The sequence below is a fragment of the Homo sapiens genome, chromosome 7 (genome assembly GCF_000001405.40).
Source record: "Homo sapiens chromosome 7, GRCh38.p14 Primary Assembly".
Classification (NCBI taxonomy): Eukaryota; Metazoa; Chordata; class Mammalia; order Primates; family Hominidae; genus Homo; species Homo sapiens.
The window spans coordinates 18,563,631-18,579,609 of record NC_000007.14 but is presented as its reverse complement, the minus strand read 5'-3'; the positions used below and the strand labels follow the sequence as shown (position 1 = coordinate 18,579,609).

General features: G+C 38.3%; 1 protein-coding gene and 1 pseudogene across 39 annotated transcripts in view, besides 2 other annotated features; both read right to left on the bottom strand.

Annotated features, from left to right (window-relative positions):
• The window catches only part of HDAC9 (histone deacetylase 9), a 915,592-nt gene that overhangs the window by 422,807 nt on the left and 476,806 nt on the right, over window positions 1-15,979 (bottom strand). The gene's annotated exons all lie outside the window — the stretch shown is intronic.
• Window positions 294-949, bottom strand: LOC100419901 (casein kinase 1 alpha 1 pseudogene; annotated as a pseudogene).
• Window positions 4,840-5,378: an enhancer, noted in NCBI's record as "H3K27ac-H3K4me1 hESC enhancer chr7:18613855-18614393 (GRCh37/hg19 assembly coordinates)". NCBI's record gives its function as "activates a minimal SCP1, AML or CMV promoter by ChIP-STARR-seq in primed H9 embryonic stem cells {active_cell/tissue: H9 hESC(primed)}" and the evidence as "EXISTENCE:reporter gene assay evidence [ECO:0000049][PMID:30033119]".
• Window positions 5,379-5,917: an enhancer, noted in NCBI's record as "H3K27ac-H3K4me1 hESC enhancer chr7:18613316-18613854 (GRCh37/hg19 assembly coordinates)". NCBI's record gives its function as "activates a minimal SCP1, AML or CMV promoter by ChIP-STARR-seq in primed H9 embryonic stem cells {active_cell/tissue: H9 hESC(primed)}" and the evidence as "EXISTENCE:reporter gene assay evidence [ECO:0000049][PMID:30033119]".

The following is a 15,979-nucleotide window of genomic DNA, read 5'->3' as shown; positions in this document are numbered from 1 at the left end:
TTTTACCTGGGAAATGGTTGTTCACAACACTGGCAATGCGACATATGAACTAAAAATTCTGGATTTGGCGATATACAAATGTTACTCTGATTATCTATTCTGCTTCTTCTGTTCCTCCCTTCATGCATGGAAACCTGTGAGAGTTTGGGCATGCTAACTCCATGGGAAGAGGCTGCCTTCTGTACTGTTTTCTGCTTTAACAATATTCAACCAAATATGTATTTAATATCAGCAGTTCAGGGTCCAGAAAATATTGTGGAATAGCTGTCTCAAGGCTTCCTTAATGTGTGATCCATAACAATAGTTTACTGCAAATTCTGCAGAAAACCCCTTATACAAAATTTCAACAGGAGTAGATACCTTCCATCAACTCCTTTTCATTTTATCATTCTCTCATTAACATTTTCATTTTTCTGTTCTTTGTTGCAGACTTTAATCTTTGCCATGGCAGGCTGGTTCTATTAAATTACATTTACATGTATCATGATGATAACATGTCATCTCTAAAACTCTGATCAATACCAAGATGTGCACTGATGCTAACTTAGCAAGTGGTGCTAGAGATTACTATCTCCTCTATGATATGTGCTGCCTTATCCTATTGTTTCTGTACTTTTTCAGCAAATCAAAATCAATAAGGAATAACTTCCTATAGCAATACTCAATACTGATTAGGAAGTTATCTGGTTTAAACTGTGACTCAAATTCTTTGCATGCACATATGCAATTCTACCAGTCATCTGGTCTGCTAACCTAACTACGGTTTTCACTGGGAGCCTTCTCCAAAAGAAAATGAAGAGGTCTTGAGGGCTGAAGATCCAAGAGTAGCACATTGCAGTCTTTGCTCTAATCATACCATCTCATGTTGAAATACTAACCCGCCCTGAAGAATCTAAAAAGTTTTCTCTGGGACTGCAATGAGAAATACCTAGCTTTCCAGAATTCAAGGATGCTAGCGCCACTTCTTTACTATTGGTTATGTTCTTTGCCTGATAAATGTCCCCAAAAAAGCCAGATGTGATCTTCCATACCAGTTTGTATTTCCCACTGATGATGAATTTGGCCTTGGAACCACTGCTTCCAGCCATCCTGAAATATGATGATGAGGGACTGGGGACAGGCCTCTAACCCTCTGCAGAGAAGGGGCCTCCAGGGCTGGCCTACAGAGCAAAGCTACTGAGAAGAGTGACACAAAACAGAAAACAGAAGTTTTCTTTGGGTAACATGGCCCAAAATCCACCTGGGGAAAGCTGATCGCCTCTGCTCAGTAGAGCTTCTTTCCGCAGGCTAACATGTGTGAAGGGGTCGTTACGAATAGCAGGCCAAAACACCTTCGATGTCATTGTGTGGAAAAGAGAAGAATGAATTAGGGCTGCACTACTGCTCAGAAGAAGCCCAGCCAAAGCCCAAACATTTTCCCTCAGTTTGTGGAGGTCACTCACCATCTTGTTTCTCTGGCTCCAAAATCATAAAATACCCACAGTTCCCTGCAGCTGCTAGGTCTGGAGCAGAGCACTCTGGGAAAGGGATCTTTGGGATTCTAGCTCCCAAAAGTCAAGCTAAGCTGGTGGGGATGGAGATAGAGATGGAGGTGGAGGCAGAAGTGGGGGCGTGAGTGGGGAGGATGTGTGTGTTTTGGGGAGAGGGGACAGCTGCCAAGGTTTTTAAATTTTTTTTAACAAGTCCTTTTTTTCAGTCTCATTCTTTCTATCCATGTTATGTATTATGGATTGGGTTTCATAAATACTGTTTGCCCCAACAAATTTTACCACAGACGAGTTTCACCGACACCTCTCTAGACTTATCTCTTGCTACCTTTTTGGGGGGCTAAACCACTGTCTCTTAACACATAGTTTCCTTCCTGCCTTTTACACTATGTTTCTTGCCCATGTCTTCCTTCTTTATCAACTTAATTCAACAAACATTTTTTGAGCATATGCTATTACTCTGCTAAATACAATGGAAATAAAAATAAAAAGTATAATGTGGTCCCTGCTTGCCAAAGCTCACATAAAGTACATATAAAATGGGGTTGGGCAGGGTAGGGCAAGGTAATCAGGTTCTGAGAATAGGAGAAAGGCATGAGACAGGCATCCAACTGAAAAATAATGTCCTATGTTATTTGTTACAGAGAAATTTTGAAAAAGAGAAACCACTGATTATTTCAGGTCGAGTCAGAAAAGGCTTCACAAAGAAAGCATGTTTGCCTAACCCTCCCTATGCCACCAAAAACACAGAGACGTGAACTCAGAGCAGAAGAGCATGTACACAGGAACAGGAAAAGAAAAAGGAAACTGCAAATGACTTGTGATTGGACTCTACAAGGCACAGGTGGAATGAAAGGTCAGAAAGGTAGGCAGGAGACTTGGTTGTTTCACAAAACAAGCAGTGTGGCAGAAGCCATGGCCACCACTGTCAGAGAGACAAGTTATTCAACCCCTCAGCAGCCTCTGAGTTTATTCCCTTACAAAATCTGGCCTATTTAGTTGTGAGATGTAAATGAGACTAAAAAAAGTTTCCCTTATCTTATTCTGTGAATGCTAATTGACATACTGACATCAAATGATTTAAAGTAGAATAAAGGCATGAAGGAACAGTTTATGTCTGGTGGAAGTATGTCATGGAATGGGAAACTAATGGAAAAGAGTCTCTCTCTCTCTCTCTTTTTCTCTCTCACTGCAGATCCCTTCCATTCCTAGGGCTTTGCTTCCTCTATGTTGACAATTCTATCTCCAGCTTAAACATCTATTCCACCAAATGTGCAACTCATATGTACAGGTACTACTGGGATTCTCTTTAGCTGTCTCTTACTGTTCTTTTCTCCAGTATCCCTGTATTTTTTTTTATCATTGCAGACACAAGAGAAACAGAGAAGTGATAGTGACTCCTCTCTCTTTTATTATCTAATTGATAGAAATTATCTTTCCTACTCCTGATTTTTTTTTTTTTTTTTGACATGAAGTCTCACTCTGACAGCTGGAGTGCAGTGGCGCGATCTCGGCTCACTGCAACCTCTGCCTGCCGGGTTTAAGTCATTCTCCTGCATCAGCCTCCCGAGTAGCTGGGACTACAGGTGTGCACCAGCATGCCTGGCTAATTTTTGTATTTTTAGTGGAGATGGGGTTTTACTACATTTGCCAAGCTGGTTTTGAACTCCTGACCTCAAGTGATCCTCCCACCTCTGCCTCCCAAAGTGCTGGGATTACAGGGATGAGTCAGCCCGACTGGCCCCTACTCCTAAATAGTTTTTGAAGCCATCAAGGTCTCTCTGCCACTGCTGCCTGTTTTATTAAAGCACTTCTGTTACGTTCCTGGCTAACACTCATCAGTGGAGCCTCCGTCTCTAACATGGCTGGCCTGTTTCTCCATAGTGTGCTTTCTCTGTATATTTCCAGCCTCAATAATACCTGTCCTCCACTCACTCAAGCCACACTGATTTTTCAGTTCCTTAAACATGTTATGCACTCCAGGGTCTCAGAGATTTTCCATATGTGTTCTCTCTTCCTAAAACCTTTCCCCCAATACCAACACATTTCTCTAGATTAGTCCTATCCTTCATATCTTAGCTAAAACATGATTTAATATAGATGTTTTTCTGAGTTTTATTTAATTTTCCCATTAAATTTCTCAGTTCTTTTCATAACATTCATTTGTCTATCTTTACCACTATTCCAAATTTCATGAGGGCAGAGACTATGTTTTCAGTGCTTAGTACAACATGAAAACATAGTAAGGCCTCAGTGCATGTGTGGTGTGAATGAATGAATGAATGAATAATAGTCACAAGATTATGGGAATAAAATTAGTAACACATGTGCACATCTGCATGTATATGTTCACATACACACATACCCGATTAAAATCCTAAAGCAATTACTTACTGGGCTTTTTGACTGTTTGAATTACAAATATATGCTGTTTTACTAGTTAAATTTCTAAGTTAACACATTTCTGGCAACACTGCGTAAGTATTTGAAAACAATCTGAAAAGTTTTTCCACCCAAGGTGTCATTTTGCATTTCCTAGACTCCACTGTATCTCTTAAAATTCAATGTGCTGACACGTGACAACATGGAGTAAGTGAACACTGAGGAAAATAAAACTTACCCATTCATGCTGTTTGCTTCAGTAGGGATAACCCAGTATAGGTCACACCGTGAATTATTTAAATAATAATGGCTAATTCATGATTGAATACTCCATGTTATATTACTGAAAATTACACCAGAACTGGTAAGCTGCAAGCTAAGCTAAGATTTTTTTTCAAATCTTCCATTTTAAAGATAAAAATTAAATTAATAAATGTAAATATAAAAGGTAAATCCTTTTAAAGTTAATCAAAATTCCTTGACATTTTAGCTAAAATAACCAACAGTTGAATCTTTTTTGAGACATGCTGAAATGCTTATTACTGAAGGCTCTTCATTAAAATGTGTAGTCTTGAAAGGCAACTTTTTTCAGGAAAAGTAAATTAAGAAGTTTGAATTTGCTATCACCAAAAATAGAAAATGGGAAAACATGTGATGGCAGTGGCTGGCCTGTCCAGAAGGGCTGCTGCCATGACACCAGCTGCAGTGGGGGCGGGGGCTGCCCACTCCATGGAGCCCGCAGGAGCTGGGAACAGGCGGGAGCCTCACCCGCTTTCGAGTTGAGGGGCAGAAGCCCCACCCTCCGGGGTGCAGCTGCAGCTATGGACCCAGGCATCCCTGCGCACAGTCGGGGACCTGGTAGGTCCTCTGCTCCCCACAGGCTTGGAAGTGCCTGCTGTCGCTGCCTGGCCTCTCCATGCTCCCAGCACTCGCTCTGATTTTGAAGCAAAGTTCAGGCCAAGCCCAGGCACTGTCGCAACCCGGCTGGGTATGTGCATGCTCAGGGCAGCACTGACACGCCAGCCCCCTGTCGTCTTGGCCTCCTTTGGACTTGGGCACCAAAGAGCATGAGTGGGAGATTGAGGGCAGCTCAACAGGGGCCTGCAGGCGCCCTTCGGCAACAGCCTGGGAACCGTGAACAACATGACTGATGGCGGCAGGAGGCAGACAAGCTCCTGGGCAGAAAGGGGAGGGTACCTGGTGAAGCCCCACCTTCAAGCCAGGGACAGCCAAAATCCTGGGGGCCAGGCTGTCAGTTCCGTGGACCAGAGTGAGAACTTATGGTGCTTTATCCAGGCCCACCCATGGCCGTCCATGGACCAATTAGCACATACTTCCCCTCCTCTGAAGCGCATAACGACCCTGGACTCAGCCAGACTGAGGCAGAGGATGGGACGACCTGCTTGCCGATAGAAGCTACCCGTTCTAGGTCACCTCTCCACTGAGGGCTGCACAGATGTCTGGACTACTGACTGGGGGAAGGAGCTACCCACTGTGGGTCTCCTCTCCACTGAAAGCTGGACACGTGTTGGGATGACCTGCCTGGAGAAAGGAGCTAACCACTGTGGGTCTCCTCTCCACTGAGAGCTGGACACTCGTCAGGATGACCTGCTTGCAGAAAGGAGCTGCCCACTTTGGGTCTCTTGAGAACTGTTCTGCCAATCAGTGAAGCTCCTCTTCGCTTTGCTCAGCCTCCAGCTGTCCGCATACCTCATTCTTCCTGGGTATGAAACAAGAACTCGGGACACATCAAATGGTGGGACTAAAAGAGCTGTTAACACGAACAGGGCTGAAACACACCCTCCCGCTTGCCATGTTGTGGGCGATGAGAAGGGGAGAAGAGCTGTGGCCCTTTGGGGAGCCCAGGCCCAGGGGCTCCCTGAGCCAGGGGGCTGTGACACTCTCTTTGGGGTTCAGTGGTTCCAGGCATCTCCAAGCTTCTGGGTGCCACCATGTTCCCCTCATCCAGACACGGATGCCCATAGCAGAAGCCGCGTGCAGTACATGTGCTCCAGCCTCAGCCTCCTCACATGGAGCTGGCACCTGTGTTGTTGCCTGGAGCTGCCTGCCCCACCACAGCAGCCAGTGTGCCCAGCTGTGTGCAGTGGCTAGACCCTGCACTCAATCACACACACACCCCTCACCGCTCCACGCCTTGCTCGTACTTGGCAGGTGTGGGTTCTGGGCTGGCAGCACGAGCCGAGTGCAGCCTGTTGAGCCGAGTGGGTGGAAAGAAACGGGCACTAGCAATACTCAGGCAGAAGGCACCACCTGTCACAGAGGTTTCTGGCTGATGAAGCAACGCCCTAGCGATCCCTAGACACAAACAACATAGCCTCAGTTTGATAACAATACTGCCCAAATTGGACTTTAGTAATGCAGATATTTTTAGCTGCTTTTCCACTAGTTACGATAACATTATCGTGGAATAAAAAGAATTACTAAATTATCAAACATGAAAAGAATCATTTTATAACAAGAATTATTTAAATTGATTAATCCAGAAATACAATTCTCCCTCACAGTGATTCTGTTCAAGTTATCCATGTCTTTAGTTTCTTAAAGTCAACTACTACATGGCATAAATGAAAAGGAAAAAAATGCAAAAAGCAACCTGGGCTTTGATTTACTATTCTCTTATTTCCCAGGGGTCTGAACAGGAAACAAAAATAACCGCAAATGACTAAAATATCAGTAGGCCTTGAAATATCAACATTTAAGTTAAAGCAAGCTAACTTCTTAATCAAAGCCTTTACTATTTTGATTTACTTAATCCAAACTCCCTGTCTGCAAATATGCTTTTGAATTAAGCAGTCATAACAAACCATAACACAAACATGAACTGCTAACTAATCTGTAATGGCCACTTAGTTCTAAAGTATCGCAATGTTTGCTAGTTCTTTACTATTTAAGAACTGAGTAAAAGCTTTATTCAGCTCCTTGCACTACGGAAACAAAATCAAGCCAATTTATGGGACTCCAAGGTAATAGAAGCTAAGAACCTATATATTAGTTTGTAATCCATATTATTTTGTAATTTGAGATTAAAATTCAATTTGATATAAATGTACCTAAAAATGAAATCTTGAGAAGATTCAAAATTTTAATGTTTTAAAATAGAAAATATAGGTAATAATATAAAAGAGTTACTTCTGTGGCCAGATCTAATACTCTTCCTCTGGGATCTAAAGTAAATTCACTTCTAAAGGAACTACGAGGAAGATGGTGCAAACCGTCCCCTTTCCCGTATTTTTTTCTACAACTTATATATTCTTCTAGGTCACAGACAAATACTTGGAGTTATAAGGAAATCCTCTGCCTCAAATATAGGGTTTCATAATGAGAGGGAAGTTTTGTTAGTCATTTGAAATAGCTATTTGTCATATTTGAATATGACAAATAGTCATATTTGTGAATATGACATATTTATGAATATGACAAAATAGTCAAATTTCAAATTTGACTATTTCAAATAGCTATTTCAAATGACTAACAAAACTTCCCTCTCATTATGAAACCCTAATATTTGAGGCAAGGGATTCCCTTATAACTCCGGAACCTAGTATATTATGTAGCTTATACTGTAAGTTTAATAAATATTAGTTGAATAAATGATTTTTCTTAGCAAATATCCTTCTCTAACAACATTCTTTCTAAACATATTACTCAGCAAATAAACTTTTTCAAAAATGTGTTCCCACTCTTCTATCAGGAATTCTTGCTTACAAAAAGTACATCATTATGTGCTATTTTGACAGAAAAAAAAAAAAAAGTTTCATTGGTTCATGCCTCCTGCCACCAGGAAACAATTACCTTTAGCCAGCACAAAACAGTTGAATATTTTCTGAAAGCCTCAATGCTTAATATGTTTAAGACAACAACATACATGAAAATATGCGGGAAAAGTAGGAGAAACAAAGCTGAAATGCCATGTGTGATATACCTTCCTTCTTTTCTTCTGCGATTCAGACCATGTCTTTGCCTTTTCTCTGCTCTAATCTTTTCAGTCCTGCATAACAGGAATAGGGTTTCAACCAATGCATCTTACCTCTTCTCCAGAATTTAGCTGTTTTCTAGTTCTGAGTAAATCTTTATTACCAAAAAAAAAAATAAAAAATAAAAAATAAAATAAAGTTTTAAAGCCCCACTGAAACTCCTAATATAGGACTGCACTGGCTTTTAGAAAAGAAAAACATTTCTTTAAACGGCTGGATATTTTCTTATTTTCTTCAAATAAAATCTTACGAACAGTTCCAACATATAAAACCAGCAAAAGTGGAAATGTTTTAGAAAAGACGGAGAGGAGGAACCAAGGTTCTATCCACTCACTTCCTCCGCTATTCCTTTCCCCCAGGGAATGCAGGCTCCATGGAACTCAGTTTGAAAATCAGTGTTATAAGGGCATTATTTGTTTATTTTGCCAAATTCAAATCACAGGCAAATTACATTACTGTTTTTTCAAAGAAAATGCCACTCTTGTTTTATGAGAACTGAAATTATGGGAATTTTAAAATGCTGAATTAAAAATAATAAAGTTATACTTTGTACATACAATTTAGAAAAAAATTGAACGTTAAAACATTTTAAAAATTCATGTAATGTGCTCATATAAGCCTTGCCAAGCTAAATGGATTGGCAGCTATATTTATGTTATTGCCACATGGTGGCACCACTTTTGCTCCTAAAGAGAAATATCCAGTATCCTTTGTCAGGAAGCACTTTGGATATGTGAGTTTTAAAATAGGTGAGTTTTGAGGTCCTAAGCATTCTAATAAAATGTGACTTCCCTAAATGTACTGATTCCAAGTTTGGCTTTACAAACATGGGTAAGCACAAAGAGTAACAGCATAATTTTGGCCAGTCTCCCGAGTTTCTCTTATTCTAATTTAAATTATGGAACCAACACTAATTACAGCACTTACTGTATAACAAACATCGTTCTGAATGCTTTATAAAGTAAATATTCATTCATTTGTTCTTTACAACATTATGAGGTTGCAATATCTAGTAACCTATGGAGTAGACGTGCTTGGGATTCTTACTTACAAATGAGGAAAATGGAGGCCACAGAGGAGCTTGGCCAAGGTCACACACCCACTAACAGGTACAACAGGAATTAGAACACACACCGTCCAGCTCCAGAGTCCATGATCTCAACCACTCCATTCTGATTCTATTTGACTTCTACAAAATAGGCATTTCATTTTATTTCTACACATTTCATTCTGGAGTATGCCTTGATACAGATGAGACTGAAAAGTTTTTGTTAAAATAATATTACATATTTTTGTTTTTAAAGGTGAAGAAAAACATTTGTTCATAATTGTCAATATATTCCACAGAGATATGTGTAATTGAATATATTTCTTCATATTTTGACACACTTGTGTATTTTCAGGTAAGTCTAAAGCATCTTTCTTAAAGTGTGTATTTCAGCACTCTTTTTAAGGAACAATTCTGTACTTAAGAATTCCAAATTTAATATTTCACCCTTTTCTTTTAGCTATACAAAATTCTATTGAGTCTAGGCAATTAGCATTTTTTTTTGTTTTTGTTTTTGTTTTTCTTAAATTCACTATGGCTGTACTCTCCAATCTGTGAATCTACTGATTCACAGGTAAAGACTGCCTGGTAATGAAGTCATCTTCGGTACTTGATTAACTAAATCCCATTGGGTTATATCAGACAGAGAGAGATACTAAATCATAATTAACTGTAAACAGTGTTAATGAGGTTTGGGTGTATTATTCATAAATTTTGAGATTACTTTTTAATTGAAGAAAGTAGTAACAAAAAGTAAGAGGCAGCTGTTTTTTGACAGCATGAGAAAAGATTTGAAAAGATAGACTGTGATGGTCTATTTTTTTTCCTTCAGTTTTTTTTTAGGTTCCCTGTGCATTATAAAAGACAATTACTGGCCATTAAGGCACAACTAATTAGAGAAACAGAAGGTTCTACCACAAAGAGGAGCCTGAGGCTGTCAGAAAATCCACTTTTTACATATACATAAATAAATAAATATCTGTGCATTAATTGAAGACATTTATAATTTGGCATAAGAAAATGTAATAATTCTTCTCCATGGCTTCTATTTAATTAGACTGTCATTAGAATTTCTATTTCTGGCAGAACTCATAGTATCTGTTTATAGAATTAGCCAATATTGAGAAAACCATCAGCATTACAGAATGCTTCTCAATACTTTAAGCACAGCTCTGAGATATCAGTCTGTAATTTGAAGCCATACCTCTTTGTACAATCAAAAGTATAAGAAATTATTGAAAATATTTATAATGAAGGTAACTATGCAGAACAGGAGTTAGGAAACTGTGGCTCATGGGTCAAATCCAGCCTGCCTAATTTTTTATGGCCTGCAACCTAAGAATGATTGTTACATTTTTAATGGTTGGGAAAACAATTTTTTAAAGGAAAATATTTTGTGACATAAAAATATATGAAATTCAAATTTCAGTGTTTACAAATAAAATTAATTGGAACACAGCCACTCTCATTCATTGACTTACTGTGTATAGCTGCTTTTGCACTAAAAAGTCAGAATTGAATGCCACAGAGATAGTACAGGCTGCAAAATCTCAAATATTTATTATCTGCCCCTAACAGAAAGTTTGCGAACTCCTGAGAATCAATCTATAGCCAAATTTTATTTTATTTTATTTATTTATTTATTTTTTTGAGACAGAATTTTGCTCTTGTTGCCCAGGCTGGAGTGCAATGGCGTGATCTCGGCTCATTGCAACTTTCGCCTCCCGGGTTCAAGCGATTCTCCTGCCTCAGCCTCCTGAGTAGCTGGTATTACAGGTATGTGCCACCACGCCCAGCTAATTTTGTATTTTTAGTAGAGAGGAGGTTTCTCTATATTGGTCAGGCTGGTCTCGAACTCCCAACCTCAGGTGATCCACCCGCCTCGGCCTCCCAAAGTTCTGGGATTACAGGTGTGAGCCACTGCGCCCGGCCCAATTTTTATTCTCACATGGTGGGATGTCCCTGTGACAAACAAATTTCCAAGCTACCTCTCTGCTATAATGGTTGAATGAATTAGGTTAAAAATTATCATAGTGTATTTCATCTAAAATAAAACATAATTAGGAAATAGAACATGACAGGAGAACACCATATAAAACAAGTTCTAAGTATTTTCACTAGATTGATATACTAATTTTAGACTTTGTTGCTTGCTCTTCACAATACGCAGTCAACTGGAAAACAAAAATATAAATAAGAATGATGGCACTTTAAAATGAGCAACATATGCTGAGCGCTAGCTATGACTTTTGGATGGACTTTCTCTTTGAATACACAGCTTTACTATTATCCCCATTTCACAGACGAGAATAATGAGCACTAGACAGGTTACAGTTAGCTTTGCCATTGTCACATATACAATATTATTTTTCAGTGTTTTTTATCTTGCATATTTAATAATATGGTAAATATTAATTTAGAATGGTCCTAATGAAAGATCCTGTATAATATTCCATAGTAAAAGATTCAGGAGTGTTCTCCTAAATTATCTCTTTTTCCATGAGACAGAGATTGTATACCCTTCAATAAGCTACAAATAGAACAAATACTTATTGAATTGAAATTTCTTTTAATAAATTATAGCGAAAGACATACATAGACTGTTCCAATCTGTGCAGCAGTTGCTACATAATTCTAAGCTTACATATATATATATATATATATATATATACATATACATATATCCTGTATGTATAAACTAACAAGGCCCCAGTATATTTTATAGAAACCAACATTGGAATGGGTTTTGCAAAGGGATGGTTAGAAATTAAAGGATATTCTGCTTATTTGACATTTAAATGTTTGTTAATGTGTGGGTTGATATAGTTTATTCTGAATGTTTTAAAACCTTGAGGTTTTAAAGAAACATCTTATACACCTCAAAGCTGCAATAATAATACTACAAGTTTGGCTATCACCCTAGTAATAGATCTGTAGTCAAACCACTACAGAAATTTTGTGCTTCATGCAAGATAGTTCTGGTAGTTAGGTATTGTTTAAAAACTATGGGAAAAATATTTACCCAAATGTTGTTCCAGATATTAATGCAAATTTAAATTTATATAACCCAAAATCATAGGAAATACATTGCTAATCATAGAGCTTAGCAAAGGCATTCTGAATCAAATGGCTTCTGCTTATTTTCCACAAAATTTATAATATAACTTAGATTAGACCAGTAGAATATTCAGTAGCTAGAGAACACATTATACAAAATTTTAAGTTCAAGCTTTTAAAAAAATGCTTTAAATGAATTGCTTGGAATTTATAAATCTTGAAGCTAAAAAGGTAAGTATTATCATGGTTAAACAAAAGAAATGAGAGAACAACAAACAGTGCAATTTGTCTCTATGCTAAGGTAAATGCTCTTGTATAGGGGTTGTTATTCAGGTTTCCTCGCCTTGCCCAGTTAGGGGGGAGAAGTATAGCCATAGAACCCCATGCGATTCCTTAGTTCAACATAGAAATTCAACCCGCCACATCAGGCCTGTCTTGGTTAGATTTACGTAGGCGGTTCACTTGGGCTTATTCCCCTCGAGATAAATTTGGCATGCTGCAGGACATACTCAAAGCCAAGGTTCAAAAACTACTGGGCATGTCTGGAGAGCAGGTGGGGCTGGCACTGCAGATGTCTATTTGCATGAATGACTAAGGCACCACCTAAGAAAAACTCATCTTTAGCAAAGAGGAAGCTAGGCCTTGCGACACACTTGACCTGATAACCTCAGGACCTGAGGGAAGGTTTGATTCTGAACATACGGTATGGTACATCCTTCCTCTGTCTTCTCTCACCTCCAGGTCCTAGAGTACAAACCTACTACATCCACTACACTCCTCTGAAAATGCTTTACCAAACTCGTTGGTAACAAACCTTTGTCATCTTGCTTGATTCTCACAAGCATGGGATACAGTTGTTTTAAAGAACAAGTAATGAATAAATTAACATCTCTATCAGTCTACTCTCAATTGCTTGCTAATGCCCAATACCTTGTCAATGTAAAGAAACAGAATTTGGCAGAAAGAACACTGCGTCTCCAGTTCTAGTCTTGATTAGTCCACGTCTATGGATCCTGGGTTTCTCATGTATAAAACAAATAAAACCAGGGAGGTAAAACAGTGATTCCCAAGGCTTCCTCTACTGCCAAAGCTATTCCCTCCCCACCTAAAAATTGTGTGTATGTGTGTGTGATTTACTTTTTTAGTCTTTATCAGAAAGTATATCTCATGCAAAAGGCAACTGCTGTTGGCCTTCATTGACTTCTTTGGGTAAATCAATAACCACCATACATAATAGATTCTGATGTAAAGAAAGGGAGAGGTACTAGGAAGCAAGCGGGATCCCTACCAGATAAGAAATGATAGAGAATTGAAAGCAGGAACTCTGAAGAAAGCTTTATCTAATTAAAAACTACCCTAGGACAGGCTTTGCCTGATATATAAAATTCAGTTGTGGTCAAAATTGTTTTATTCCTTGATTGTGGTATTTGGAAACCTCTCCTCTAACTTTCCATAATAAATAGCAAAATATTACTTTCCATTTTCTCTCTCAATGAAAACACCACTTTCTACAATAGTTGCTTCTTAAGGGGGTGGAATGCACAAAAATATCTACTTTTTGTAATGTTACTTAGCAAAACAAGAATAGACATTTTCCTCACTTAAAAAGTTTTTACTATACAGTAATATAATACCCAGTTTGAGAAAAATCAGAAATATTATTCTGATCCTATGAAATGTGATGGTTATTCAACAGCTCCCACATTGCTTAATAAAGAAACAGAAAATTGCCCAGAATTAGAAACCACTAAGCCAATTAAAGTTGCCAGGGTAAAACTGAAAAAAAAAAAAATTATCCACATTATAAATATCTTAGAATACTTTTCTTTCTTTCTTTCTTTTTTTGGTTAACATAAAAAGATTTCATTACTTGCAAAGGCTTATATAAATAAAATTAAAACAACATCACCAATTTGCTTTTATTATTTCAGTGCATTTAGATATTTCAAAATGCACCTTTGTTTTTTGGCTGAAAGAATTCCCCACCCTTTTTTTTCTTTTTTTCTACAGAAGTACCCTACACTGTCCAAAATATGTAGTCCTGTTCAACAGCTAAAGAACTCTTCTCCTCCTCCCTCTCTAATTTGGCTTCAAGTCAAGGCTGTTTTTCTCATTCCAACTGTTTTGGACATATGCTGGCCCAACTAACAATGGTAAACACAGCAAGCTGTCTCTGATATGATGCTGATTAAGTAATCTTGTGAGCAAGTAGAGTTTGGATATTAAGATGCTGAGGAAAAAATTACTCACAGAAATTCTCTACCCTTTGAAAAATATTTGGATTCTTGATTTTACATTATATGATAAACAAACCATGGGATATTTTTTAAAAAATACATTTATTTGGCTGAGCACAGTGGCTCACGCCTGTAATCCCAACACTTTGGGAGGCTGAGGCGGGCGGACCACCTGAGGTTGGCAGTTTGAGATCAGCCTGACCAACGTGGAGAAACCCCGTCTGTACTAAAAATACAAAATTAGCTGGGTGTGGTGGCGCATGGCTGTAATCCAAGCTACTCGGAAGGCCAAGGCAGGAGAATCCCTTGAACCCGGGAGGCAGAGGTTGCGGTGAGCCAAATTGTGCCACTGCACTCCAGCCTGGGCAACAAGAGTGAAACTCCGCCTCAAAATAATAAATAAATAAATAAATAAATAAATAAATAAATAAATAAATAAATAAAATACATTTATTTGATGCTGGCTTAGGCATTTGAAATATGAAAGAGCCTAAGATGTGGTCATTACATTCATGGATTTTCCAGTTTAAAATAAGGGCAAGTAGAGGAAACAGTGGAAGCCCAAAGATGAGCTTAAAATAACATTCTAAAGACATTGCTTCATCTTACAGAAAAATAAAAAGGTATAAAATTGAAATTTTGAGGACTTTGAATAGTGTTTCAATAAAATCTAATGGTAAAATGTTAATACAAAAGTAGTCTCTTAACGAAAAGGAATAGGTATAGAGGCCCAATGTCAATCATAAGCATGTGGTACAAGATACTTGGAAGAAATATAAACATTATAGTGCATATTATTCCTATTTAGAATAAAAAAATAAAAATGGACATCTTCTATCCTGTTTTTGAATATTAGAATTGCGCACTTATTTTTCATTTAGCTTAGACTGCTATATACCAGCTTCCTCTCAGTATGCAAATAGAATAGATAAAACCAAACTGTAAAATAAAGCCAGGAATACAAATTGTCTTTTAAAAAATACTTGGAAGCTTAATAGAAATAAGCAAGCCCCAAAAAAAGGGATTACCTCACACTTGATAAAACTGTAATTTCTCATTTATTTATCAATAAAGCTCTTACTGGGTTAGTACTACCTATAATTTGACAGACATAAAATCAGGACAGATTAATTAATTTATAGCCATGGACAATTTTTTTTTTTCAATTGTATGGTTGCAACTGTACTGTTTCCTTGTTTCTAAACTATGCAGGCCTTGAACATAGAAAGATGAGGAGAATAGTCATTGTTGTCAAAAAATTTACAATCTGGCCGAGTGCGGTGGCTCACACCTGTAATCCCAGCACTTTGGGAGGCCGGGGCGGGCGGATCATGAGGTCAGGAGCTCGAGACCATCCTGGCCAACATGGTGAAATCCTGTCTCTACTAAAAATACAAACAATTAGCTGGGCGTGGTGGCACACACCTGTAGTCCCAGCTATTTTGGAGGCTAAGGCAGGAGAATTGCTTGAACCTAGGACAGCAGGGTTGCAGTCAGCCAAGATTGTGGCATTGCACTCCAGCCTGGAGACACAGCAAGAATCCGTCTCAAAAAAAAAAAAAAAAGCAGCAAATCAACATGGTACATGTATACCTATGTAACAAACCTGCATGTTGTGCACATGTACCCTAGAACTTAAAGTATAATAAAAAAAAATAATCTAAGTTCATGGGGGGGGTTGGGTGGTTCTGAGGGAATTGATGGCAAGAAAACATACCAAAGATATAGAGTATGATATGGGCAAATACTGATGATTTGAATAGATAACTAGAG